We start from the raw sequence: 25290 nt of genomic DNA on the forward strand, positions 1-25290 counted from the left end.
AGCTGGGATTTGAACCCAGATCGTTGTTGATGTTCTCCAGCACCTCACCCTGACTATACTCTTGCAGGCTGGTGAAAGCAACCAGGGCACCCCTACTCCCAGGAGTGAAAGCAGTGGCTATATTTCTCTTTCCAATACTGTGTGGGCTCTACTCGGACAGGGGTGGTGGCTGGACTTGGGCAAATATCCCACACTCCCTGACACTCACTCCAAGGGTGCTGTGATGGTGGACCGGGGCTAGAGACCCCAGGCTGCTGGGGACAGCTCCTCCCTTCTACCTGGGACTTTGTGCCTCTCCTGGGAATAGCAGCTGATACTCCCCAGAACACGCTGGAAGGTCAGTGCCCTCGTGAGATAAGGATTCCTTGCTATAGGACTCCTCTCTCTCCTAGCCATGTTGGCCTCAGAAAGTCCCCAGAACCTCTTCCCCTGCCACTCAGGCTTATGGTGGGAGGAGGAAGTATGAAAAGTCCCCTCCACTGAAAGGCCAGAAGGAAACGCAGCGCTCCCAAGGGAGAGGTGACTGGGGAAAGGCCTTGGGGAGAGAAGTGAGAAACTGGAGAAGGGCTGGGGATTCACTGGGAAGGACTGAGCACCACTTGGGACCCTGGCTCCACGTGTAAACCATTGCTGGAGTGTCCCCCTCCTTGGCCATGGCACAGGTCACCCCAGCCTCTGGGGCCAAGGCGCAAGACCTGTCGGAGAACAGCCAGGCAAAAGCACAGAGAATTTTGCTCTCTGACTACCGCTGCCGCCGCCAGTTCCCTCACAGCCCCCTTGGGGGATTTCCCTGCTGAAGCCAGCAGAAAGCCCAGCAGTCCCAGCGCCCCTCCTGCCACCGTCAGAGCTGCACTGATGCCCCACCAGCACCTCAGCGGGAGCCGCTGCCCACACCCCTGCCCCCTCCCCTCAGCCTTCCAGGAAGCGAAGGCCAGACACAGGGAAACAGAAACATGTTGCCCTTTTATTTGCGTTTCTCAGAATACTGTACAAAGGGAGTAAAAATCCTATTCACACTTTGCTTAGAAAGATTTTAAGGTGAAAGTTCCCTATGATACACGGGGTGGGAGATGCAGGGTCAGGAGGGAGAAAACAGGCCCAGTGACCTCTCCCGTTCCCTTGGACCCCTGGAAGAGGACACAGGGACCCACACCTTTTCAAAATTAACACTGCCCCTAGTCCAACTGGGGAGGGGAGAAGGCTCCAGCCCAGGCTCAGGCTCCCGGCCTCACTTTCTTCTCTGCAGGCTGAGACAGTGCCTACAGGCCACGTCTTGCCCCTTCCTCTGTGCTGCTTGAGCAGGGATCCTACAGGACTCTCACCACAGACCCCACATGGGGTGGCCTCACAACGCCACATGTGGCTGCCACATGAGAGGCCCTGCCCAGTGCCAGTCTGTATGAGGAAGTTAAGGGGTGAGGGCCTGCAGAGGACCACAGCACCCATCGTTTCTGTCACAGCTTCCCCATACCCCCGCAGGAGTCAGGGCCAAGTTGGACCTGTGCTTACAATGACTCACGGGCCTTTTCCCCACCTGTCTACCCAACAGCCAACCCAGGAGTTAAACCCACAGCAGCCTCCCTCCCCTATTACTATCACATTCTGTGGGTAAATTAACCCTCCAAGCCTGCTTCCCTCCCTGCCCACATCCCAAAGGAGATTGGGTCTAGCTTCTGTCCCTACCCCTCCCTCCCTTACACCAGTCCTCTGCTGCTATGTGGCCCCATTCTTCTAAGTCTCGACTCACTAGCTCTCCTACAGCTCCCCAACCTCCACCAGGCCAGGATGGCAGCAGCCCTGGCCCCCTCACCTCTGGAACCAAGCCATCTACACTCTACCCCATCTTTCCCCAACCTGACCCTCCCCACTCCCAACCAGGACCCACGGTGGGTTGCAGAGAAGCTGCCAAAAGCCTGGGACTTGGATTAGACAGCTCCCTACCCAGAAAGGCAAAGACCCATCCCACACTTGCTTCCATACACAAAAGCACACACTGCGTGGCATCGAAAAAACCTAGGAATCACAGTGAAACAATCCAGAAGCCGTACCGCCCTCTGCTCCCTATGCAGGGGTTAAAGTGCTTTGGCTGCCTGAGGGCAAACAAGTGAGCAGGGGTTTTTCCCCTGGCCTCCTGTCGCAACTGCGTGGTCCATGTTCAGCCCAGGAGCCCAGCCCATTCCATGACCAACTCCATGGAGTCTCTATTCAAAAAGCAAAAGGAAAAGATCAAAAAATTCAGAAAAGGTCAGAGCCCAGGGGGCCTACCCCAACCCCACTACAAGCTACTCCAAGTTGGCTACTGGGGGAAGCGAGGGGGGAAATTAGGCCAGAGGCTCAACCCCCATCTCTGGCAGTGTCCAGAGGCTTCTTCTTTCTGTCTTCAGTGTTGCAGCACATGCCTTTTACCCTACCCCTCCCCTGCCACCCTGGGCAGGGGAAGGGGCTGCACTCTCAGTACTTATTGATTCCAAAAATCCGGACTCCGTGGAGCTGGGGCAGCTTGGGGATAAGCACGCTCATCAGGGACACGGTGTTGAGCACAAAATGGATCTGGTCGTACTTAGTGTAGAAGCTGGTGAGGAAGTACCTGGGAGGGGAAGGGTGGGGAGAGATATAAAAGACTGTTGGGAGGACCCCTTCCTCCCTCACTTCCTGGGAGGGGAAAGGCAGAATCCCAACAGCTAAGGAGTTACAGAAGAGGTTCCCAGACCAGCGTAAGAAGCAAGAGCTCTCAGGCTAAAGGGGCCCCTCCTGGCCCAGTACCGCCCCCACCTCCCAGCTTCACCCCAAGCCTGTAGGCCTATCTCACTAGCAGGAAGGAAGCTCCAATGGAGGAAAGATGGGGCCAGGGAGGCCCAAAGCCTGAGTCCAGTGTAAGACCCAGGAATATTCCAACTTCCTCTGTTCATCCCTACACCAGGAGCCACGGCAGGGTTAATAAGCATGGCTGGGCCCTGGGGTCCTCCAGGCCTTGCCCTGCCTGCTGGTGTCTTCCTGTAGCCCAGGCACTCACAGCACGATGGGTGTGATGGTCAAGAACTTCCGAGAGGCCGTGAACTGGACCCCATAATCCATCTGCTCCCAGTGGGTTAGCAGCCTCGCCTTGCCCTGGTCCGGGGTCTCAAAGGGTGTCCCCTTCACCGTGTGCAGGAAGATATACATGCCCTGGAGGAAGAAGTCTTTGTTAGAGGATACAAAAGGGAAAGGCCCCCCTGCCCAGCTCCTCCACCCAGTCACAGACACAAGTAACTCCCAGTGATCTGGAGCCTCCCTCTGCTGGGCAGGGGGATATGGGCTGGAGGTCAGGATGGAGCAGCTGGGAGTATGGCAGGAGAAGAACAAGGGGACTCCCTGGGGGACGGGCTAGGCCTGGCATGAGAATGCACGGTGGAAGTTGGCCACAAGATAGGCACCGAGATGCTGCCCCCCTCCAGGCCACTCATAGCCCCCTGTGCCTGTTGGGAGGAGGCAAGCGATGGGACTAAGCCCTGCTTACCCGACAAAGAGTGCAAGGTAGCAAGTGGTGAGGGAGCAGAGAAGGGCAAAAGTGGAAGACGGTTCGAGAAGCTAACTTGAGAAAGGGGCATTTCTGTATCAGCCTAGGCACCAGGACTCTCGGGTCCTGGGAACTCTCTGGAGCCCTTTGTTCAGCTCTCAGGAGCACATCTTCCAGGCCAACAGCCACCCCACCCTAGAGATGTGGAAAAATCTGCAGATTTGATTCCTGTCATGGTACACAGGGCAGGAACCCAGAAGGGGGAGCAAGGCAGAGAGGTAAGGGCTAGGCCTGGGCTCTGGAGGCAGATGTCGTCAGTACATCACCCTGACACCTGGGCCAGGCCCGACAGGCTCCTCCTATCCCTCAGCCCTGCCAAAGGGCAGCCCACAGGGCAGGGGCAGGGGCAGGGGCAGGCAGCAGACAGGCTCTCACCATGTTGTGAATGAGGTTGGTGAGGGTCCAGACGACAGGGACACTCACAAACGGGATGCTCAGCAGCACGATGTGGAGGAGACCGATGGCCAGCACGTAGGAGAGCCAGATGCCACGGCTGTTCATCACCCGCGTGTTGGGGTTCACCTCGCTGTGCGCTGTGCCCACATTCATCCTGCTGCCCCTCTCTGCTGTTCTGCAAACAAGCAGCACAGGTCAGACAGGTCACACTGCTTTCCCTGCCCCCTCTCACCCTCGGATCCCGCTGGGAGGCAGGCCCTTGTTTCCCTGAGAACTCCAGGCAGTTCCACTCTTTTGATTCTGAAGCATGGAAAGTGGAGAAAGTCCATGTGGACTTAGCTCTACTCATTTCCTGCTGCTGGGCTGGGATAAACAACAGGCTGCCCCATGCATCATCCCATTGGGACAGGGCCCTGGCAGGGCATCGGAGGACAGGTCATCAAGAGGCACGCAGCCCCAGGGCAGAGAAGTCAAGGCCCATCCCCCAGCCTCACCCCCTATGGCACTCCCATGAGGACCCTCTGCCGACAAAGCCCCAGGGAGAGAATTCTCACTCAGCACAACCCCTGCTGGACTGTGTCTCACTGAAGGCCTAATGTGGGACATCTGCTCTTAAGCTCTTCCCATCAGGAGGGAAAGGAAGTGAGGCCTGTGGGTACAGGCAGCAGTGGATGAACTATTTTGAGGTCACTGCATCCACTCACCTCCTCTGATTTTTTCAATTCTGGATCTCCCCAAACCCCAACTTAGGAGGACTGATCAGGTAGAAAGAGGGAAGTGGGGAGGGAGGAAGGGAGGAAGAAAGGAGAAAACAACAGACTAGGGACAACCTTTGCCCAGACCTAGAAGGCACCCCTCCTGGGTGACACAAAACAACCCATCCGGATGTTTTCTCCATTTGGCAGCCACTCAGGCCAACCCTTGTGATGCTACCCACTCCACTGCCAAACCACCAGGGCCCTTTTCCCCACAAGAGAGGCGAGGATAGAGAACGTGGCCAACACCTGTAACTCCCATAGAGAGCTGGAATCCACCTCAACATATGTCTCCTAAGGGCACAGACTCGAACCTGTGGCCTCCCTCCTGCCCCCGTTCTTCTCTGTCCTGCCCATCCTCACCTCAGTCTCCCCTCTCAGCACCTGTTTCCAGGTGTATATTAGCACCATGCCTTCCCCTGCCCAGCACCAACGGTAGGAGTCCTGCAGCAGGAGGAACCAGGAGGTGGCCGCAACCCACAGTGAGCAGAGGGAAGTAGAGAAGGAAGGGGTGGAATGATCTGCCCCTTATCCAGAGTTTGGCTGTCCCCAGATCCCTGAGGGCCCTGTGACCAGGAGAAAGTGGAGACAGATGGCACCTGTGTACTGGCTCACCTCCCTATCTGAGATAGGGTCCTGCTTGCTAAAGACCGTAAGGTCATCACCATGGTAACAGCCCCATCTTTCCTGGGAATGCAGAAAAGAGTCCCAGATGGAGATATTCTAGAAGTACCCAGAAGGCCACCTCCCTCACGCCCCTGCAGCAACCCCGTCAGACCCAGATGCTATCTATCTCTGACTAGGATCCTAGCCAAACCTGCACAGGAGACTGAGTCCTCAGGGGCCAGTTATTTACTTCCAGGATAACAGGAGCAAGTTTCCTCTTCTCAGACAGCTCCAAGCTTAGAGACCTCAGAGAAAATGTGACCCACAACACGCCATCCCAACAAGCAAACACCCGTGCGCCAGCCTGGGGCGCATTCTGATTGAAGAGATGCTCCTGGGACCCATCAGCGCAGCCCACTAGGCTGGATAATTGAGCCTAACAGAAATTCAAGTATCTAGAAAGCCAGAGCTGGCTCAGATTGTTTATCTTCCCAGGGCCTTGGGGCTTCAGTTACTCTAGCAGCCCCTGGGACAGCTGCTACGCAAAAGCCTCCACCTGAGAGGGGAGGGCGGCATGTGGCTGACAAGTGAGGGCTCTGAAGGACTTAACTCTGACTAAGGAGAGGGAAAGAGCTTCCCAAGTCTGACCTGAAACTGCCACCCCATCACCTCTCTGTAACCCGCACCTACAGGGGTGCTGGTATAGAAAGTCCACTAACCCTTCCTAGTATTTGTCCAGGAGTGCCAAAAGCCTTGGGGAATCCCAGATCACAGGACCCCATACGCCTTTCTGGCTTTCACAGGGCAGCCAACAAAACTTGATGAGCCTAGGAAAAGCCTAGACCTAGGTCCTAGCCAACACCCTCAGAAGCTTCTTCCTGAAGCCTAAACACTAGGTGCCCTGAGAGCAGGAAACCACCAGAGACCCCTGAAAAAGAAGAGATCAATAAACTAACAAAAAGACTGGCAATGAGGAAACACTCTTGAGACTTTCGTGTGACTATGGATACATATCACTTCCATTAGTAAAACAACCAACTGGCCCCTACCCTAGATGGGGAGAAACAGAGAGAAGAGGCTGGCAGAGGTCGACTAGGTCTACAGGAGTTGAGCCGAAAACTTCTGCTGCCATAGCTGGCAGGTGGCTGCTTAGTGCTGGGCCCTGATGTGGTTTCATAACCTGCCTCAAACCAGAGCCTGCAGCAACTCTGTTGTGTTAACCACTTTTTTGCTGGTAGCTCTTTCCCCCTCCTTCCCGCCCCACCCTCTTGGCTCCACATACAAATATCCGGGCCCAGCCAGTATGCCAGACACTCAAGCCAAGGCTGAGCACCACCAGGGCAGCCACCAGGTGAGCCCTTCCCATTCCCTCCCCCAGGAAAGAGCAGCCCTCACAACAGCAAACCTCCTGTCTTCTGGAAGAGGAGCACAAAACATCCAGGCCTGGATGGGGACCCCAACGGGGAGTCCGGGGCAGCACGTCACAATGCCATGTCCATTCCGCCCACCCCCCAAGCTGCAGGACCACAGCTGATAACCTCTCAACTTTGGCCCAGCCACCCCGACTGGGGGAGGGCGGTAGGAGCGGAAAGCGAGTGCCCAGGCGAACCCGCACTAAGCACAGGAGAGGAGGAGCGAAGAGGCGGAGTCCTCACTGTTGTTGGGGTTTTCTGAGTGAGACCTCGGGTGCGGGGCCGGGGGGAGGGGTCCCGCTCTGTTCCCCAGCCTGGGTCTTCGCACTCGGAACCCGGTCCGGTCCGGGACCCCACAGCCATCTCCACGCGTTCACCCAGCCCTGGAGGCAGCCAAACGTTTATCCCCGAAGCCGAGCCGCTCCCCGCCTCCCACCCCTAGCCGAGGCGCTCCTCCCGACGTTCCACCCCCGGCCTCCCGCTCGCACTTTATTCCTTGGCCACCTCCCCAGCCGATGCACCCCCTCGGCTGATGCACTCCCTCCACCCCCCACTCCCTCTGCCCCCGTCTCTCCAGCCCGGGGCGCCTCCCCAGCAGCCCCCACCTTCTCTCCCGCCCCTCCCGTAGCCCTGGGGCCTCTTGGTTCCTTCCGGGCTCACCGTGTGGGGCCGAAGATCAACGGCCCGGGAACGGTTCCCGGGAGCGGGGGCCGCTGCTGCTCCAGCAGCTGTAACAACCCGCGGCTGCAGCCTCCCCGCTGGCAGCTCCGGCCGAATCAGCGCTCCGCGCCGGTCCCCGTACGTCACCGCCCCGCGCCGGCACGCCCGACGCCTTCTGGGAGTTGTAGTTTCTTCCGCTGGCTCCGGGCCGGCCCTCCCGACGCCTCCTGGGAGTTGTAGTTTTTCCTGGGCTCCGTTCCCGGCCTCTTCGGGGACGCACGGTTGGAAGTTGTACCGTGACGTGATGGTCAGATCGGATGATAGAATTTTGGTGCGTAACAATTCCAACTTTTGCTTCTGTGCCCTTCAAGTGTATTTTATCCGTGCCCCAGTTTTGCAGATGAGGAGACTCGGACTTGTAAGTAACTTTCTGTAGGTCTTTGCTGGGTCCTAGACTGGATCGAAACCCAAATATTCTGACCCCAACTGCAGGATTTTTCCACTGCACCTGGCTGCCTCCGCCCTGGCCCCAGATTGGCTCCTCCAGAAACAGACTAGCCCGGCCCTTTGCCCTGCTGGGCCCTCCTGGGAGAGCGCTTTTCACAACATTGGCTGGGATGAGGGTCTGGAGGGCCCGGAACGGAGCCTGCCTTCTCCTTCTCAGTCACGCTTGGCCCAGGCTGCCCCGGACCGGGCCACATCCTTGGCCGCCCCGCACCTGACGTGAGAAGAGGCTACGTATCATAGATTCCTCCATCAGTAGTAAGGAGCCTGAGTTTCTGTCTCAGGTCAGCTTGTGTGGCTTTGAATGAGAGGCTCTGGTCTGCAGTTTTCACATCTGCATCGTCTAAAGGCAAGGGCACAGACTTTACTGCCTGGTAGACATGGGGTAGGCCCTCCTTTATTGGCAGTGTGACCCTGGGCAAATTACTTGTCTTAATCTCCAATTCCACACCTGTGAAACCCCACCTCCAAGGTTGTGGGAACCCAAAAGAATGTATGTAAAGCACCTGTTGCATTGTAGGAATCTACTTAATATTACTGTAGGAGGTTGAACTAAATGGCTCTTGAGGTCTCCTCGGTTACTCCCATTCTCCATGTCACCAAGAGGTCTTGTCTGGGTAGTTTCAACTCCTTACCCAGCTTCTTTCTAAGTCCACTCTATGCAGGGCAGGGCTGGAATAGCAAGGTCAGATGATGTCATGGCATGCCAACCTGACTCTGAATGGCAGTTCATGGCACCCTGAACTGAAAGTGAGGGAACAGGAAGGAAAAGGCTAGCCCAGGGAAACTGCGGAGCACTTTACTCGGACTACACCTACCTTTCCTTCCCCAGGGGGCTGCCAGGAAACAGTTGTCACACAGCTGGAGTGGGACCCCCAGAGGCACTTAGTGGTCACCAGGCAGGTGGGTATTTGAACCACCCAGAGCAGAACAGGCAGCTTCTTCAATATTTCCAGGGCCAATGGCCCCAAAAGGGCTCATTCCAAGATCGAAATAATCATCTGAGTCTGAAATAGCTCTGCCTATGTCCTGTGGAAGTTTCTCCTGGTTTGTGGAGGTGCCTTTCCTTATAGTCATCTTTCTGCAGACATAAGCAAACCCAGTGTTGTTCTTTTCACAGAAACCTCCCCAGCATTAAGGCAAGAAAGGTGTCTCTGTTTTTTCCGAAGTGTGCCTGCTTGACTCCTTTGATTTTTCTCTGGGATTCTTCATCCTCCATCAAGTTGATCGATCCCTCTGGATCTTGGTCAGTTTCCTGACATCTCTATGAAGTTCAGTGACCCAGACTGAGTCCACGTCTCAAATAAGGTTCTGACTAATGCAGAGTCTAACAGAAAGATTACTGAACATGTCATGCACTATTAATAACTCCTGTTATCGAGGATTTTTTTTTCACAATAGGAATGAACAGAGTTCTGACTCACTCTAGGTTTGTGGTAAATTGCAGATCACTTTCTGCTTTATTTAGCGGGAGTCCCTGTTGTCATCTTTCTCCTTCTCTCTTGGCCCTCATAATTATCATATCTTCCCCAAACGTTCTTCAGCTGTGAATAGCCCTAAGCACTATTCAGAGTGAGTGACAGCTCTCTTATTTCGTGCTGGGGGACATACAAACCCTTGGACAAACACTTGTCACTGTGTGCCAAGAAGCTGAAAAATTCTTCTTGCCTCAGAGCCATAATTACACTTTTGGTAGCATATTCTAAGGAAGTCATCCCATGTACAGGAAAAGCTGCAATGTGTCAGGATGTTCATTCCAGCAATATTTATAGTAGTGAAAAACTGAAAGCAACCAAATGCCCAAGAAAAAAATTACAGTATATCCACTGGATGGAATAGTATGAAGCCATTTAGGACAGATTGTGAAAACCCTGTGGCAGTATGGGGAATGTTTGCTAAGTTATATGAAAAGATGAGGACACAAAATAGCATAACATACATTCCCCAGGGATATAGTCAGCAAAGTCTAGAATGAAGAAAATTAGGACAAACACCCAATTCCCTTAACAAATAAAACTGGGGCCAGGTATGGTGACTCACGCCTGTAATCCCAGCACTTTGAGAGGCCAAGGCTTGTGTCCAGGAGTTCGAGACCAACCTGGACAACATGGTAAAACCCCGTGGTCTACAAAAAATACAAAAATTAGTTGGGCATGGTGGTGTGTCTATAGTCCCAGCTACTCAGGAGGCTGAGGTGGGAGGATCAATTGAGCCCGGGAGGTCAAGGCTGCAGTGAGCTGTGATCGTGCCAGTGCATTCCAGTCTGGGCAGCAGAGTGAGATCCTGTCTCAAAAAAAAAAAAAAAAAAAAAGGAAAAAAAAGAGGGGGAGAGACTTACAGATTAAAATAAATTAAATGATATATCAACTAAAAGTCTTATTTGGATCCTGATTCAAGCAAACTGACTTTAAAAAAAAAAAAAAAAAAAAAAAAAAAAAGGCCGGGCATGGTCACGCATGCCTGTAACCCCAGTACTTTGGGAGGCCAAGGTAGGCGGATCACCTGAGGTCAGGAGTTTGACACCAGCCTGGCCAACGTGGTGAAACTCCGTCTCTACTAAAACTACAAAAACTAGCTGGGTGTGGTGATGGGCGCCTGTAATCCCAGCTACTCAGGAGGCTGAAGCAAGAGAATTGCTTGAACCCAGGAGGCAGAGGTTGTAGTGAGCCAAGATTGCACCATTGGCACTCCAGCCTGGGTGACTGAGCAAGGCTCTGTCTCAAAAAAAAAAAAAAAAAAAAAAAGATTTTATTAAGTTATCAGGCAAATTTGAATACTGACAAGGTATTCAACGATATTAAGGAATTCTAAATGTTTAGGCGTGATATGGAATTGTGGTAAGGTTGTTTTTTTAATTTAAAAAGTCCTCCATGGCTGGGCGTGGTAGCTCATGCCTGTAATCCCAGCACTTTGGGAGGCTCAGGCAGACAGATCACCTGAGGTCAGGAGTTCGAGACCAGCCTGGCCAACATGGTGAAACCCCGCCTCTACTAAAAATACAAAAATTAGCCAGGCGTGGTGACAGGCGCCTATAATCCCAGCTACTTGAGAGGCTGAGGCAGGAGAATCGCTTGAACCCAGGAGGTGGAGGATGCAGTGAGCCGAGATCGTGCCATTGCACTCCAGCCTGGGAGACAAGAGTGAAACTTCATCTCAAAAAAAAAAAAAGTCTTCCTTGGCTGGGTGCGTTGGATCACACCTGTAATCCCAGCACTTTGGGAGGTGAGGCAGGCAGATCACAAGGTCAGGAGTTTGAGACCAGCCTGGCCAGCATGGTGAAATCCCGTCTCTACTAAAAATAGAAAAAAATTAGCCAGGCATGGTGGCACGTGCCTGTAATCCCAGCTACTCGGGAGGCTGAGGCAGGAGAATTACTTGAAACTGGGAGGCAGAGGTTGCAGTGAGCCGAGATCATACCACTGTACTCCACCCCGGGTGACAGAGAGAGACTTCGTCTCAAAAAAAAAAAAAAAAAAAAAGTCCTCCTTTCAGACATACATACATACTAAAATATCTGTGGATGAAATGATACAGTGATTGCATTTGCTTCGAAATAATCTGGACTGGGAACCATAGGGAAATAATAAGATGAGCCATGAGGTGATAATTATGGAAGCTGTGTGATGAGGACATGAAGTTCCTTATATTATTTTCTATACTTTTTTTTTTTTTTTTTTTTTGAGACAGAGTCTCACTCTGTCACCCAGGCTGGAGCACAGTGGTGCAGTTTCGGCTCACTGCAACCTCCGCCTCCCTAGTTCAAGAGATTTTCCTGCCTCAGCCTCCCGAGTGGGCTGGGATTACAGGTGCACGCCACCACATCCAGGTAATTTTTGTATTTTTAGTTGAGACAGGGTTTCACCATGTTGGCCAGGCTGGTTTTGAACTCCTGACTTCAAGTGATCTGCCCACCTTGGCCTCCCAAAGTGCTGGGATTACAGGCATGAGCCACCACGCCTGGGCTATTTTCTCTACTTTTTTAATGTTTAAAACTGTTCATAATAAAAAGTCTAAACCTGCATATACGTTAATGATTAAGATAAGCCAAAATAGAGCAGCACTGGTAACATCCTCTGGCACCAGACTGCCAGGGTTCAACTCGCAGCTCCTCTAGTTACCAGCTGTGTAACCTTAAGCAAGTTACTGAACCTCTCTGTGCTTCAGTTACCTCGTTGCTAAAAGAATTGGCAAGTGACACTGGTGTTCGGAAAAAATAAAGTAAATGAAGATGGCGATGATCATGATAATACCCTCCTCATGTTGTGGATATTAAATGGGTCAGTAAATGTGAAATGAAACACTCAAAACAATTCCTGGCACATAATTAAGTGCTCAGTATGTGTTGCCTTTTATTAATTCATTCCACATTTGAATGATATTTGAGCATCTACTTTACTAGGTTATGGAAATTCAACAAAATAAAAACAGACCTTGGGCCGGGCACTGTGGCTCAAGCCTGTAATCCCAGCACTTTGGGAAGCTGAGGCGGGAGGATTGCTTGAGGCCAGGAGTTCAAGACCAGCCTGGCAACGTAATGAGACCCCCCCCCCACCCAACCACCATCTCTATAAAAAACAAAAATAAATTAGCCGGGCATGGTGGCATGTTCCCGTAGTCCCAGCTACTCAGGAGGCTAAGGCGGGAGGATCGCTTGAGCCCAAGGAATTCGAGGCTGCAGTGAGTTATGATCTCGCTAGGAATTCGAGGCTGCAGTGAGTTATGATCTCGCTATTTCACTCCAGCCTGGGCAATAAAGCAAGCCCTGTCTCTTAAAACAACAACAACCGGGCATGGTGGCTAGCGCCTGTAATCCCAGCACTTTGGGAGGCCGAGGCAGGTGGATCATCTGAGGTCAGGAGTTCGAGACCAGCCTGGCCAACATGGTGAAACCCCGTCTCTACTAAAAATGCAAAAATTAGCCAGGCATGGTGGCGCGCCCCTGTAATCCCAGTTACTAGGAAGACTGAGGTGGGAGAATTGCTTGAACCCGGGAGGCGGAGGCTGCAGAGAGCAGAGATGGCGCCATTTTACTCCAGCCTGGGCAACAAGAGTGGAACTTTGTCTCAAAAAATAAAGAAAGGAAGGAAGGAAGGAAGAAAGACAACAACAAAAAAACCTTGAATCAGGATGAAGGGATTTAGGGTGATCTTTTTCATTCTCTAGTTTCAAACTTCACGTAATGTGGTATTACTTTTAAATTTTTTATTAAAATTGTTTAAAAACAAAATGAGTCTGCCACAGGCTCTTTCTGCCCTCTGGGAGTTCCTTAGGCTGCTGAGGTAGACACATTCCCCAGCCTCAGTGTGCTTTCATCTGGTGATCTGGGAGTGGTGATCGGGCCTCTGCTTGTGAGACATACACCGTCTTGTGGGCTGAGATAGGTTGATAAACAAGGAACATGTTCCTGGGATGCTGCTGGCCGTGTTCAGAAGCTGGGAGAAGGGATGTCAAGAAACAGTGCCTCGAGCTGGGTGCGATGGCTCACGCCTGTAATCCCAGCACTTTGGGAGGCCGAGGCGGGCAGATCACGAGGTCAGGAGATCGAGACCATCCTGGCTAACACAGTGAAACCCCATCTCCACTAAAAATACAAAAATTAGCCGGGCGTGGTGGCGGGCGCCTGTAATCCCAGCTACTCAGGAGGCTGAGGCAGGAGAATGGCGTGAACCCGGGAGGCGGAGCTTGCAGTGAGCCGAGATGGCGCCACAGCACTCCAGCCTGGGCGACAGAGCAAGACTCCGTCTCAAAAAAAAAGAAAAGAAAAAAGAAACAGAGCCCCTTCCCCTGGGGGAAAGAATACCACCTCTCCACTCCTACTCCTCCCCTCCTCCCCCACCTGCTTCCTGAAGGGAGGGTGGTGAGGTCCTGTCCAGAGCAAGTGCAAGGAAGGAAAGAACTGCTTATTTCATTGACAGTTGTGTTTTTATTTTTGTTTGGGTGGGGGATACCCCAGGCATGTGGTGGGAAGAAGGAGGGGGAGGGGAAGGCAGATGTTAAGCAGACAAAGGAGCAGCGAATGACCCTCCTGAGAACTACTGAGCCAGTCAGAAGCCAGGAGTGGGTGCGGGACTGGCAGCATCGCCAGCGGGCACTCTGTTCTGCCTCCCTCGCCCAGTCCTGTAGTTGGCTATTTTGGGCTGTGGAGAGAAAGGGCTGAACTGGTCAGGGCCACTGGGTCCCCATCCCCCAGCCTGTGCCTGGGAACAAGAACCTCCCTGGGGAACCAAGTGCAGGGAGGTACCTTAGGAACCCTTCAACCTGCATATTCTTTGATATGGACAATTGACACTCTCCCATGAACAAAAGCAGTTAGAAAACTGAAAATATTTCAGATCAAAAGGGCAATGGATATAAAAACAGTAAGTTCAAGACAAGACCCCCTAGCTCCCTACCAACTGAGTTCCTACTCCTAGCCTCACCTGTCTAGAAATCTGGGTGGCCACCGTTCCCAGATCACCTTCTTCTGCCTAAGGCCAGCTCCTCCCTCAGTAACAATCACAGCAAACATTATTGTTTGCTATGTTCCAGGCACTGGGCAAAGGGCTTTATTTGTCTGTTACAGAACCACCTCCCCCTGGGCTGCTAGACTTGCTCCCTGTCTCACATTTGCATTTCCCGAACAGAGTGAATTCTCAATAAATGTTAACTGAACTATGTAACGGAACTGTTACCAGAAAGGGGTCCCGATCCAGACACCAAGAGAGGGTTCTTGGATCTCACGCAAGAAAGAATTCAGGGTGAGTCCACAGTGCAAAGTAAAAGCAAGTTTATTAAGTAAAGGAATAAAATAATGGCTACTCAACAGACAGAGCAGCCCCGAGGGCTGCTGGTTGCCCATTTTTATGGTTATTTCTTGATGATGTGCTAAACACGGGGTGGGTTATTCGTGCTCCCCTTTTTAGACCATTTAAGGTAACTTCCTGACGTTGCCATGATATTTGTAAACTGTCATGGCGCGGCTGAAAGTGTAGCAGTGAGGACCACCAGCGGTCACTCTCATTGCCATTTTGGTTTTGATGGGTTTTGGCCAGCTCCTTTACTGCAACCTGGTTTATCAGCAAGGTCTTTATGACCTGTATTTTATGCCGACCTCCTATCTCATCCTGTGACTTAGAATGCCTTAACTGTAGGGTTCAGCCTCATTTTACCCAGCTTCTATTTAAGACGGAGTTGCTCTGGTTCACACGCCTCTGACAGAACTGCACGTCCCAGACCACAGCCACACAGCTCTCCCTTGTTCTTGCCTCAGCCTCGTACCCTTTTCCATCTGATGGACTCCTATACACCCCTCAAGGCCTACCTCACCTGTCACCTTCTCGGTGCAGCCTTCCCCAGTGTCCAAGCAGAGTCCACTGCTTCATCCTCCAGGCTGCTGTGACCCTGGCGGATCCCTCAACCCAAGCCTTCCCTTAGGTGATCGGAGGGCTATATTTGTGCACACACCAGTCTTCCCTCATTGGCTGGGGGACATTTAGTTCTCAGCCAGGCGCGGTGGCTCTACACAAAAATACAAAAGTTAGCTGGGTGTGGTGGTGTGCGCCTGTAGTCCCAGCTACTTGGGAGGGTGAGGTGGGAAGACGGCTTGAACCCAGGAGGTTGAGGCTGCAAGTGAGCTGTGATCATGCCACTGTGGTCCAGCCTGGATGACAGAACGAGACCTGTCTCAAACAAAAGAAAAAAACAACTCTGAATCCCCAATGCCTAAGAGGCCCTGGTACACAGTACATGCTCAGATATGTGTTAAGTAAATGAGACAGTATCTCCAAGCATGGCAGCATGAAGTGTATGTATACACCCCTTGCTCTTTTCTACAGGGAACAACAATAGCAGAGGCCTTTGTTGCCCTCTCCGCGAAACTGCCCAGTAACCTGGCATTAGACGGGTCCCTGGCTGACCTGATAAAGAAGGTAGCCCTTCCTTATCTATCTTCTCTATCTATCTATCTACCTACCTATCTATCTATCTTTTTCCTTTCAGTTATCCCCCCATCCAGGCTGGACCTGGAGGTCTCCAACATCAGGGAGGGAAGGGGATGGAGGCCTGCTGAACTTCTTTCCCCTGTGGTCACATATTGGGGATATAGAGTTACCACCCTTGGAGGGAGGAGCTGTGACTCAGACTGCCGAGGGTGGGAGGCTAAGAGGCTCACTTTCCTGAGCCCTGAACTTGGGAGCCAGGGCCCTGCCATGCCTCAGTCTCTTCCCTGCCTGCCATTCTAGACACGTGGAGCATCAGGCTAGAAGGGATCTCAGAGACTGTGAGGGTCCAGAAAACAGAAAGGATGTGCCCCGTGGCATAAACATCTGCTGGTCTTGGGCCTAGCCCGAGAATTTTCCCAGGCACTTCACAGGCCAAGACAGAGCGTGAGACTCCCCGGTGATGGCTTTTCCAGACCCATGCCATGTGTCCCTCAGGTCTTTATCATCTCACACCTAGACCTTTGCCATAACTGGTTTTCCTGCCACCAATACATCCCCGACACAACCAACAGAGTGATCCAGACATCAAATCTAATTTTAAAACCTTTCAATCCGACCAGATGCGGTGGCTCACGCTTGTAATCCCAACACTTTGGGAAGTCGAGGAGGGTGGATCACTTGAACCCAGGAGTTTGAAACCAGCCTGCTCAATATGACCAAACCTCATCTCTACACAAAAATACAAAAAAAAAAAAAAAAAATATCTGGGCATGGTGGCATGCACCTCTGGTTGTAATCCCTTGGGAGGCTGAGGTGGAAGGATCTCCTGAGCCTGGGGAGGTTGAAGTTACCGTGAGCTGTGATGCCACCACTGCACTCCAGGCTGGGAGACAGAGTGGGACCCCGTCTCGAAAAAAATAAAAATAAAAATTTGGCCTGGCACAGCGGCTCACACCTGTAATCCCAGCGCTTTGGGAGGCTGAGGTTGGAGGATCACTTGCGGTCAGGAGTTCAAGACTAGCCTGGACAACATGGTAAAACCCCGTCTCTATTAAAAAAATAATAACATTAATAAAAAAAATTGGCTGGGCATGGTGGTGCACGCCTGTAATCCCAGCTACTCAGGAGGCTGAGGTAGGAGAATTGCTTGAACCCAGGAGGCAGAGATTGCAGTGAGCCGAGATCAAGCCACTGCACTCCAGCCTGGGTGACAGAGTGAGACTCTGTCTAAAAAAAATAAATAAATAGGCCGGGCGCAGTGGCTCACGCCTGTAATCCCAGCACCTTGGGAGGCCAAGGCAGGCAGATAACCTGAGGTCAGAAGTTCAAGCCCAGCTTGGTCAACATGGTGAAACCCCGTATCTACTGAAAATACAAAAATTATCCGGGTGTGGTGACGGGTGCCTGTAATCCCAGCTACTCCGGAGGCTGAGGCAGGAGAATCGCCTGAACCTGGGAGGCAGAGGTTTCAGTGAGCTGAGATCATGCCATTGCACTCCAGCCTGGGCAACAAGAGTGAAACTCCGTCTCAAAAAAATAAATAAATAAAATAATAAAAACTAAATAAAACCTTTTTAATCCATAAGCCACGGAATCAAGTCCCAATGCATCCATGGCGTGCAAGCCACAAGGATCTGCTCCCTTTTTACTTCTTTACCCCTGGCCTTTGCCACCACCCCCTCCATCCACGCAGTGATCTGGAAGCCAAGCCATTTCATGCTCCCTTGCTCTTGCACATTCTGCTTCTCCACCTGATTAACCCAGCCTTGAAAGCCCAGATCAAATGTCACTCCTTGGTGAAGCCTTCCTTGATTATACCCTGGAAAAGCTAGTGTACAGTTAAGGATGCTCTCAGCAGAAATCAACAGAAAACCCAAATAATGATTCTTACCCTAGGTTGCCATTAGAATCACCTGAGGAGCTTTTGAAAATTCCCATCACCTGGCCAGGCACGGTGGCTCACTCCTGTGATCCCAGCACTTTGGGAGGCTGAGGCAAGTGGATCACCTGAGGTCAAGAGTTCGAGACTGGCCTGGCCAACATGGAGAAAACCCGTCTCTACTAAAAATACAAAAATTAGCTGGGCATAGTGGCGTGTGCCTGTAATCCCAGCTTCTTGGGAGGCTGAGGCAGGAGAATCTCTTGAACCCAGGAGGCAGAGGCTACTGTGAGCCGAGATGGTGCCACTGCACTCCAGCCTGGGCGACAGAGTGAGACTCTGTCTCAACAAGAAAAAAAAATCTCCATTACCAGACACATGCCACATGGGTGTACCCAGGCATCAGCAGTTTTCAAAACTGCCTATATACCAGTGTGCAGCCAAGTTGAGAAGCACTGAAGTTAGGGGGTTTTCTTTCTCACGTATTGAGTCTAGAGGTGGCAGTTGCTGGTGTTGGTTGAGTAGCTCAGCGATTTCCAGGCCAACATCTCAGTAATACTCAACCCTCCCTTTATGCTTTGTTGTCTCATGGCCACGAGATGGCCTGAGTTGACCCTTTCATGTTCAAAGTAGGGGCCAGGCACGGTGGCTCACGCATGTAATCCCCAGCACTTTTTGCAGGGGGCCAAGGCAGGAGCCTTAGGAGTTTGAGACCAGCCTAGGCAACAAAGTGAGACCCTCATCTCTACAAAAAAAAAAAAAAAAATTGGCTGGTTGTGGTGGCACATGTCTGTGGTCCCAGCTACATAGAAGGCTGAGGCAGGAAGATTGCTTGAGTTTGGTAGGGGGTCAAGGCTGCAGTGAGCTGTGTTTGCATTCCAGCCCGGGCAACACAGTGAGACCCTCTCTCAAAAAAAAAGGCTGGTGCACTGGCTCACACCTGTAATCCCAGCACTTTCAGAGGCCAAGGAAGGTGGATCACCTGAGGTCAGGCGTTCAAGACCAGCCTGGCCAACATGGCGAAACCTCATCTCTGCTAAAAATACAAAAATTACCTGGGTGTGGTGATGCAGGCCTGTAATCCCAGCTACTCAGGAGGCTGAGGCAGGAGAATCACTTGAATCTGGGAAGTGAAGGTTGTAGTGAAGCGAGATCATGCAATTGCACTCCAGCCTGGGTGCACTCAGAGAGAGACTCCAGACTCTGCACTCCAGAGAGAGACTCCATCTCAAAGAAAAAAAAAAAAAAAAAGGTAGGGAGAGGAGCAGAGCCCAGCCCTATCCTCTCTTACCAGCAAATCAAAGACTGTCCCACAAACCTATTCTGCGGACTTCTGCTTAGATGTCATTGACCAGAATTGGGCCACCCTCAGCTGCAAAGGAGATTGAAGAAGTAGGCAACAGGATTTCTGATGGGCTGAGATCAATCAGGTTGAATCATCAAGGACTGAGTGCATTGCCACTCCCAAAGCCATGTGTGTTAATCTGGTAGTAGGAGGGAAGGGATGATTCTGCCATGTTATTAATACTTATTCTCTCTCTGTGCTTCACAGCTCCCTGTACAAACATCAATTAATGCAGGCAGCACATCAAAGCATTGTGGAGACATGTCTGTGCCTCCCTCCAGACCATCAATTCTCAACTCAGGCTGCTCGTTAGACATACCTGAGGAGCTTTCGAAAGAAACCAGTGCCTAGACCCCATGCACAGAGATTTTAATGTAATTGGTCCAGATGAAGCCCCAGCATAACTAATCTGTAAAAGCTCCCCAAGTGATTTGAATGTGCAGGGTGTTTTGAGAACCCTGCCATAGACCCAGCACCTTAAGAACCCTGTCTATGTCCCCTTCAACTAGCACATAAGGCTCACAGGAAATCCTCACTGAATGAATAAACAAATAAATGGATGGCAGAGAATTTCTGCTCCAATTCTGCAGCCCCTAGTGGGCAGTGTGCACTGTCCTAAGTGTGGTTCCTCCTTCCCCCCAGATCTCCCTCCTTCACCGAGTTTGCACTCAGACTCCCTTAATTAACCACATCTGCAGCTCCAGCTGGGCTCCTGCTTCTCCCACAGCTGCTGTGCTGGACACCCTAGTTCCACTCTTTTCCTGGAAGCTGCCCTAGTCTTAGAAGGAAATAACCCTCCATCAACAGCCAGGCTCAATTCTTGTGCCTCAGTTAAAGCCCCTGCCCAGTGTGAGAGAGGAACAGGGGGAAAGGGAGGATTGCTCAGCTTTCTGTCCCACATTCAGCTACAGTCCCGAAATGGACACCAAGTAGCCAGCAGCAGAGTGTCCGGCCCTCAGAGAAAAGGTTTGCTTGTTGCTTCTCCTGCCTAAGTGTAGAAAGTTATCTGATTCCTTAGACAAATGTGAGTCTGCAAAATTCCCCTGTTGACATCACAGGAATAAGTCTGTGGTGAGTACATCCTCAGAGATGATATCATCTGGCATCCTACCATCTGGTCTGGTCCCCATCATGCTTCTGAAACTGCTTGTTCAAAGGTAACCTACAGGGCCAGCCTCACAGGCATGCGGCTGACGAGGTCCCACAAGACCTCATGCCCTGTGCTCACAAGAGCTCTGCACTTGGTTTTACACTCTGCTGCTGTCGTCATCTTAAAATTCTTTTTTATTTTTATTTTTTAGAGACAGAGTCGCACTCTGTCACCCAGGCTAGAGTGCAGTGGTGCAATCACAGCTCACTGCAGCCTCCACTTCCCAGGCTCAAGCCATCCTCCTACCTCAGCCTCCCGAGTAGCTAGGACTAAAGTATGCACCACCATGGTCTGCTAATTTATTTTTCTTTTTGTAGAAAGTGCATTTGGACAATTTTTTTTTTTTTTCTGGAGAGACGAGGTTTCACTATGTTGCACAGGCCAGTCTCAAACTCATGAGGCTCCTTGGTCCTTGGCCTCCGAAAGTGCTGAGATTATAGGCATGAGCCACTGCACCCAGCCTTGAAATTCTTTTTTTTGAGACAGGGTCTTAATGCGTCACCTAGGCTGGAGTCAAGTGGCACGACCCAGGCTCGGTGAAACCTCTGCTTCCTGGGTTCAAGTGATTCTCGTGCCTCAGCCTCCCAAATAGCTGGGATTACAGGTGTGTGCCACCTCAGCCCAGTTAATTTTTTGTATTTTTAGTAGAGATGGTGTTTCGCCACATTGGCCAGGCTGGTCTCAAATTCCTGGCCTCAAGTGATCCACCCACCTCGGCCTCCCGAAGAGCTAGGATTACAGGCGTGAGCCACCATACCTGGCAAGGCCTTGAAATTCTTAAGTTTTCACCTGGGTGTGGTGGCTCACATCTGTAATCCCAGCACTTTGGGAGGCCGAAGTGGGTGGATCACTAGAGGTCGGGAGTTCAAGACCAGCCTGGCCAATATGGTGAAACCCTGTCTCTACTAAAAATACAAAAATTAGCCGGGTTTGGTCGGCAGGCACCTGTAGTCTCAGCTACTCGGGAGACTAAGGCAGGAGAGTCGTTTTAACCTGGGAGGCAGAGGTTGCAGTGAGCCAAGGTTGTGGCACTGCACTCCAGCCTGGGCCACAGAGTGAGACTTTATCTAAAAAAAAAAAAAAAAAAAAAGGAAGAAATTCTTAACAGGTTTTTGAAACAAGGGACCCCCCCACACACACCCCATTTTTATTTTGCACTCAGCTCTACAATTCCGTGTCCAGTCCTGGTCACCCATAGTCTTCCAAAATCCAGCAAGAAAAATCCTTCTCAGAAAGGTCTCCAATGCGTATGACCTCATCTTCCTTCGTGTAAGTATATCCACCCCTAGTCTCTGTGACACCCCACTCTCCTGTTCTCTTCCACCTCTCTGACCTGGCAGGAGGGCTTCCAGGTTCCGTACAATACAATACCGTGGGTACCATCAGGCTCAACGTGCAAGGATGTAGGGTATTGGTATGTGTGGCAGAGAGGCACAGAGGTAAGAGCTGCTAGCAGGCAATGGAAAGTGGTTGGACAAGGAGTTAGAAAACTGGGCTCTGGTCTTTGGCCACTGACTCATTGTGTAACTCTGGTCACATTCTGGGCCTCAGTTTACCGGTCTGCAAACTAAGGAGGGATCAACTGGCTGGTCCCTTCCTTTGAGCTCTATCAATCATTGAGGCTCTGAATCCCAGCACCGAACTGGAGATAGTGTGGGTAGGATGGTGCCATAGGAGGCACCATGTGGTTGGACTTGAGGGTCAAGGGAGTTGCAGGGGATAAGCCACCATGGGCTAAGGAATGAGATGGGTCATCCACATGGATCACATCTATGACCCTTTGTCACCTCTGCCCCTGCACAGCATACGAGAGGAGGTGAAGGGGAAAAGCCTGGCGTGGGTAATGAAATCATGGAGGAAGACCATGATGTGTTCTGGAAGTCAGTAATCCTAACAACTAGCCTTTGCACAGCACTTCACAAAGTACCTTCACATCCACTCAACCCTGGCGGGTCCTCCCAACCCTGCAGCAGTGTCAGGTGACATGCCCAGGTCACACACTAATCTCATCTTCTGCCTTGAAATCCTTCCTTCCCACTACCCAGTGAACATTAGGAGAGGGTGGTATCACGGAGTGGCGTGGCCTGCAAATGATGCCTGGGATAGGGACACCCTGGGGGAACAAGTCATCCAAGCCATCTTTGGTGCCCAGGCCTGAGGGAGAGTTCAAAGTGCCAACCTGAGAGTCCAGGGCTCTAGCAAACTGAGAGAACCTGAGTCAGTTCTCATCCAGATCATAAAATCAGCAGGAAAACTCAGAGATGACCACATCAGGCTTCAGGTGCCTTAAAGAACTCCTTCCAACTCCTAGAGAAGCAATCAATCTACCACGCAGAGAACAAACTGAAATTGAACCACAGCACCCCTGGCAGGCAGGAGGTCTGGGCACTGCGAGGAGCCAGGAAATGAGGAACCCTGGACAGACATGTTTTCCAAGGAAAGACTAGGGGAAGTTTGCTCACCGTGGAAGAAGGGGCCACCGAGCATGGAAGAATGTGCCATGGCGTGAAAGAATGGCAGAAGGGAGTAGGGAGAGGAATGGAGTTGGGGGAATACAGGTTGCTGGAGACACTGGATGTGAGATGGGGCCCACCCAGTTCTGCCCGCCAGGCCTGCCAAGCAGGGATCCTTCTGCCCAGCCAGGTTCTGGGTAAGGAAGAGGAGTTCTGGGAAGCAGTTTCAGCCTTGGGGAGTGAGGGAAGATGGCAGCATCAAGGCCTTGGGAGGGGAGCCTGGTGCAGGGAATGGAATTGGGTCCTGGTCTCCCCACAACAGAGTTCATCAGGGTCCAGGATCTGCCCTCTCTTGGCATTGCCTGGCCACACCATGGCTCAGGTATCCGACACCTGGGCCCAGAGTCACATGCCAGGAAACCCAACACTCTTGGGTCCCAGCCCCCAACTTCCAGCAGCTACGAGCAAACAGGGCTTCTGGAGGAGGAAGCGGGTCTCCAGAGCCCAGCAGCAGGGAGCCTACGTCCAGGGACAGGGCATCTGCACTGGAGAAGGCTCTGCCACCAACAGGGGTGAGAGGAATGGAGGAGGACGGGGAGGAGGAGGGAGGAAGTACAGAGCAGAGAGGACAGAGCTGGGGCAGGCAGAGGGGTGGATGCTCCCGGAAAAGGGGTAGATGGGCATAGAAGGTGGGGCCAGAGGTCTATTTTACCTAGTCACCTGGCCTAGCTGGATGCCCTGACACCCTGTCGCTCATCCGTCCCCTTGTCTCCATCACGCGAGTGCCAACCAGACCCTCTGGTGCCTACCTAGCCCACTTGGCAGCCACCCAGGTAGGTAGGGGAAGAAGACTTTATTCCAATGAGAGAAATCAACACATGGACAGAGGCAGAAACTTAGAAACCCCCAGACCCAGAATGACCAACAAGGCCTCACAGATTAACCTTCTAGAATCAACAGACCCTAAAAGAGTTTCAAGTGCAAGAGACCCTTTACCCAAAAGACCCTATTGAGGAGACTTAAATCAAGAGAGACCCCAATAAGGAAGTGAAAAAGTCACCCAGGCTTGAGAGAAGCCCCCAGAGAAGAGGCCCCAGCCCAAAAAGACTCCCCAGAGGGACCTCGGGAGGAGAAAGCTGGCAGTGGGGCATGCGATTCTCTTGACTCACTCCTCCTTTATGTGGCCTTTCCTTCCCCAGATCCTACTGCACTCCAGGACTATGCCAATTTATGGCCATGCTCCCAACAGCAGGTCACCTCCTGCCCCTCCTGCTGGTGATAGGCACAGGGGGTACTGTGCCCAGCCCCCAGGTGCCTCCCCGGGGCTGTTATGTGGCAAAGGAAGCAGGTGAACGGACGTTCCGCTGCAGCCAGGCAGGCCTCAGTGCTGTGCCCTCCGGCATCCCCAATGACACCCGCAAGCTCTACCTGGATGCCAACCAGCTGGCATCGGTGCCTGCTGGTGCCTTCCAGCACCTGCCTGTCCTGGAGGAGTTGGATCTGTCCCATAATGCCCTTGCCCACCTCTCAGGGGCGGCTTTCCAGGGCCTGGAGGGCACATTGCGCCACCTCGACCTCTCTGCCAACCAGCTGGCCTCAGTGCCCGTGGAGGCCTTTGTGGGGCTACAGATCCAAGTGAACCTATCCGCAAACCCATGGCACTGTGACTGCGCCCTCCAGGAAGTGCTCCGGCAGGTGAGGCTGGTGCCGGGCACTGGGACAGGCATCGTGTGTGGCTCAGGAGCCCGACCGGACCTCGTGGGGCAGGAGTTCCTGCTGCTGGCAGGGGAGGAAGAGCTGTGTGGGTCGGGGTGGGGTGGGGCCCGGAGGAGCACCGATGTGGCCCTGCTGGTCACCATGGGGGGCTGGCTGACACTCATGGTGGCTTATCTGGTGCATTATGTGTGGCAGAACCGAGATGAGACCAGGCGCTCCCTCAAGCGGGCCCCAGTGCTGCCCGTGCGTTCCGAGGACTCCTCCATCCTCAGCACAGTGGTCTGATGACCCAGGATGCTCCTCCAGCCACACCCCACACTCCTGCCCCTATGCCCTCTCCTTTGCTCTGACCCCCTCTGCCTCCTGTGCAGCTTCACCCCTGCCCCCAAGCCCATCCCACCCCTCCCTCCTTTATTCCCCCTAAATACCTGTGCTGGTTCTCTCTCTCTCTCTCTGTGTCGTCTTAACCAACACCATCTTTGGTGCCTGGAGTTTTTTGGTGCCTACTCTGTGCCTGGATTGTGCTAGACTCAGAAAACCCATAACAGAGAATGACAGCAGGTGGGGTGGGAGCAAGGGAGGAGGGGCTGTGGGGGGGCAGGTTGAGGAGGGAGCCTGCACCTGGCCCAGGGCGATTTCAAAGGCTTCGCTGTAGGATGTTTGAACTGATTCTTTTTTTTTTGAGATGGAGTCTCACTGTGTCAGCAGACTGGAGTGCAGTGGCAGGATCTCCGCTCACTGCAACCTCTGCCTCCCAGGTTCAAGTGATTCTCCTGCCTCAGCCTCCTGAGTAGCTGGGACTACAGGCGCGCGCCACCACGCCCAGCTAATTTTTGTATTTTTTAGTAGAGTTGGGGTTTCACCATGTTGGCCAGGATGGTCTTGATCTCTTGACCTCGTGATCTGCCCGCCTTGGCCTCCCAAAGTGCTAGGATTACA

At 52.4% G+C, this 25290-nt stretch overlaps 2 protein-coding genes and 1 long non-coding RNA gene across 10 annotated transcripts, besides 6 other annotated features; 2 read left to right on the top strand and 1 right to left on the bottom strand.

Annotated features, from left to right (window-relative positions):
• On the bottom strand, positions 943 to 7503 carry ORMDL3 (ORMDL sphingolipid biosynthesis regulator 3). Of its 7 annotated transcripts, NM_001320801.2 has the most exons (6): positions 5525 to 6880; positions 5071 to 5273; positions 4657 to 4707; positions 3932 to 4127; positions 3014 to 3165; positions 945 to 2587 (listed from the first exon to the last, which is right to left on the bottom strand). In NM_001320801.2, the coding sequence occupies exons 4-6, from the start codon at positions 4103 to 4105 to the stop codon at positions 2452 to 2454; spliced, it is 462 nt and encodes a 153-aa protein (NP_001307730.1). In that variant the 5' UTR covers positions 4106 to 4127; positions 4657 to 4707; positions 5071 to 5273; positions 5525 to 6880; the 3' UTR covers positions 945 to 2451. The 7 variants fall into 7 exon arrangements, with proteins under 7 accessions (XP_047293049.1, XP_047293050.1, XP_047293051.1 ...); XM_047437093.1 differs by lacking the exons at positions 4657 to 4707; positions 5071 to 5273; positions 5525 to 6880 and adding an exon at positions 7331 to 7503 and having other exon boundaries at positions 943 to 2587; positions 3932 to 4122; XM_047437094.1 differs by lacking the exons at positions 4657 to 4707; positions 5071 to 5273; positions 5525 to 6880 and adding an exon at positions 7331 to 7503 and having other exon boundaries at positions 943 to 2587.
• Positions 3233 to 4019: an enhancer, noted in NCBI's record as "H3K4me1 hESC enhancer chr17:38079584-38080370 (GRCh37/hg19 assembly coordinates)". NCBI's record gives its function as "activates a minimal SCP1, AML or CMV promoter by ChIP-STARR-seq in naive H9 embryonic stem cells {active_cell/tissue: H9 hESC(naive)}" and the evidence as "EXISTENCE:reporter gene assay evidence [ECO:0000049][PMID:30033119]".
• Positions 4020 to 4805: an enhancer, noted in NCBI's record as "NANOG-H3K4me1 hESC enhancer chr17:38080371-38081156 (GRCh37/hg19 assembly coordinates)". NCBI's record gives its function as "activates a minimal SCP1, AML or CMV promoter by ChIP-STARR-seq in naive H9 embryonic stem cells {active_cell/tissue: H9 hESC(naive)}" and the evidence as "EXISTENCE:reporter gene assay evidence [ECO:0000049][PMID:30033119]".
• Positions 6622 to 6904, top strand: LOC124903999 (uncharacterized). The gene is made up of 2 exons (XR_007065750.1): positions 6622 to 6664; positions 6830 to 6904. It is a non-coding gene; the product is annotated as an uncharacterized LOC124903999 (long non-coding RNA).
• Positions 6757 to 7367: an enhancer, noted in NCBI's record as "H3K27ac-H3K4me1 hESC enhancer chr17:38083108-38083718 (GRCh37/hg19 assembly coordinates)". NCBI's record gives its function as "activates a minimal SCP1, AML or CMV promoter by ChIP-STARR-seq in primed H9 embryonic stem cells {active_cell/tissue: H9 hESC(primed)}" and the evidence as "EXISTENCE:reporter gene assay evidence [ECO:0000049][PMID:30033119]".
• Positions 7368 to 7979: an enhancer, noted in NCBI's record as "H3K27ac-H3K4me1 hESC enhancer chr17:38083719-38084330 (GRCh37/hg19 assembly coordinates)". NCBI's record gives its function as "activates a minimal SCP1, AML or CMV promoter by ChIP-STARR-seq in primed H9 embryonic stem cells {active_cell/tissue: H9 hESC(primed)}" and the evidence as "EXISTENCE:reporter gene assay evidence [ECO:0000049][PMID:30033119]".
• On the top strand, positions 7634 to 24901 carry LRRC3C (leucine rich repeat containing 3C). Of its 2 annotated transcripts, none has more exons than NM_001195545.2 (4): positions 7634 to 7716; positions 15704 to 15796; positions 21345 to 21451; positions 23835 to 24901. In NM_001195545.2, exons 3-4 carry the CDS (start codon positions 21426 to 21428, stop codon positions 24634 to 24636), a joined length of 828 nt encoding a protein of 275 aa, NP_001182474.1. In that variant the 5' UTR covers positions 7634 to 7716; positions 15704 to 15796; positions 21345 to 21425; the 3' UTR covers positions 24637 to 24901. The 2 variants fall into 2 exon arrangements, with proteins under 2 accessions (NP_001182474.1, XP_016879492.1); XM_017024003.1 differs by lacking the exon at positions 7634 to 7716 and adding an exon at positions 14586 to 14626.
• Positions 18229 to 18348: an enhancer, noted in NCBI's record as "active region_12118". NCBI's record gives its function as "activates an Ori minimal core promoter by ATAC-STARR-seq in GM12878 lymphoblastoid cells {active_cell/tissue: GM12878}" and the evidence as "EXISTENCE:reporter gene assay evidence [ECO:0000049][PMID:35858748]".
• Positions 18359 to 18408: an enhancer, noted in NCBI's record as "active region_12119". NCBI's record gives its function as "activates an Ori minimal core promoter by ATAC-STARR-seq in GM12878 lymphoblastoid cells {active_cell/tissue: GM12878}" and the evidence as "EXISTENCE:reporter gene assay evidence [ECO:0000049][PMID:35858748]".
• Positions 24902 to 25290: the final 389 nt, after the last annotated feature.

This window comes from Homo sapiens, chromosome 17 (genome assembly GCF_000001405.40).
Source record: "Homo sapiens chromosome 17, GRCh38.p14 Primary Assembly".
Taxonomy (NCBI): domain Eukaryota; kingdom Metazoa; phylum Chordata; class Mammalia; order Primates; family Hominidae; genus Homo; species Homo sapiens.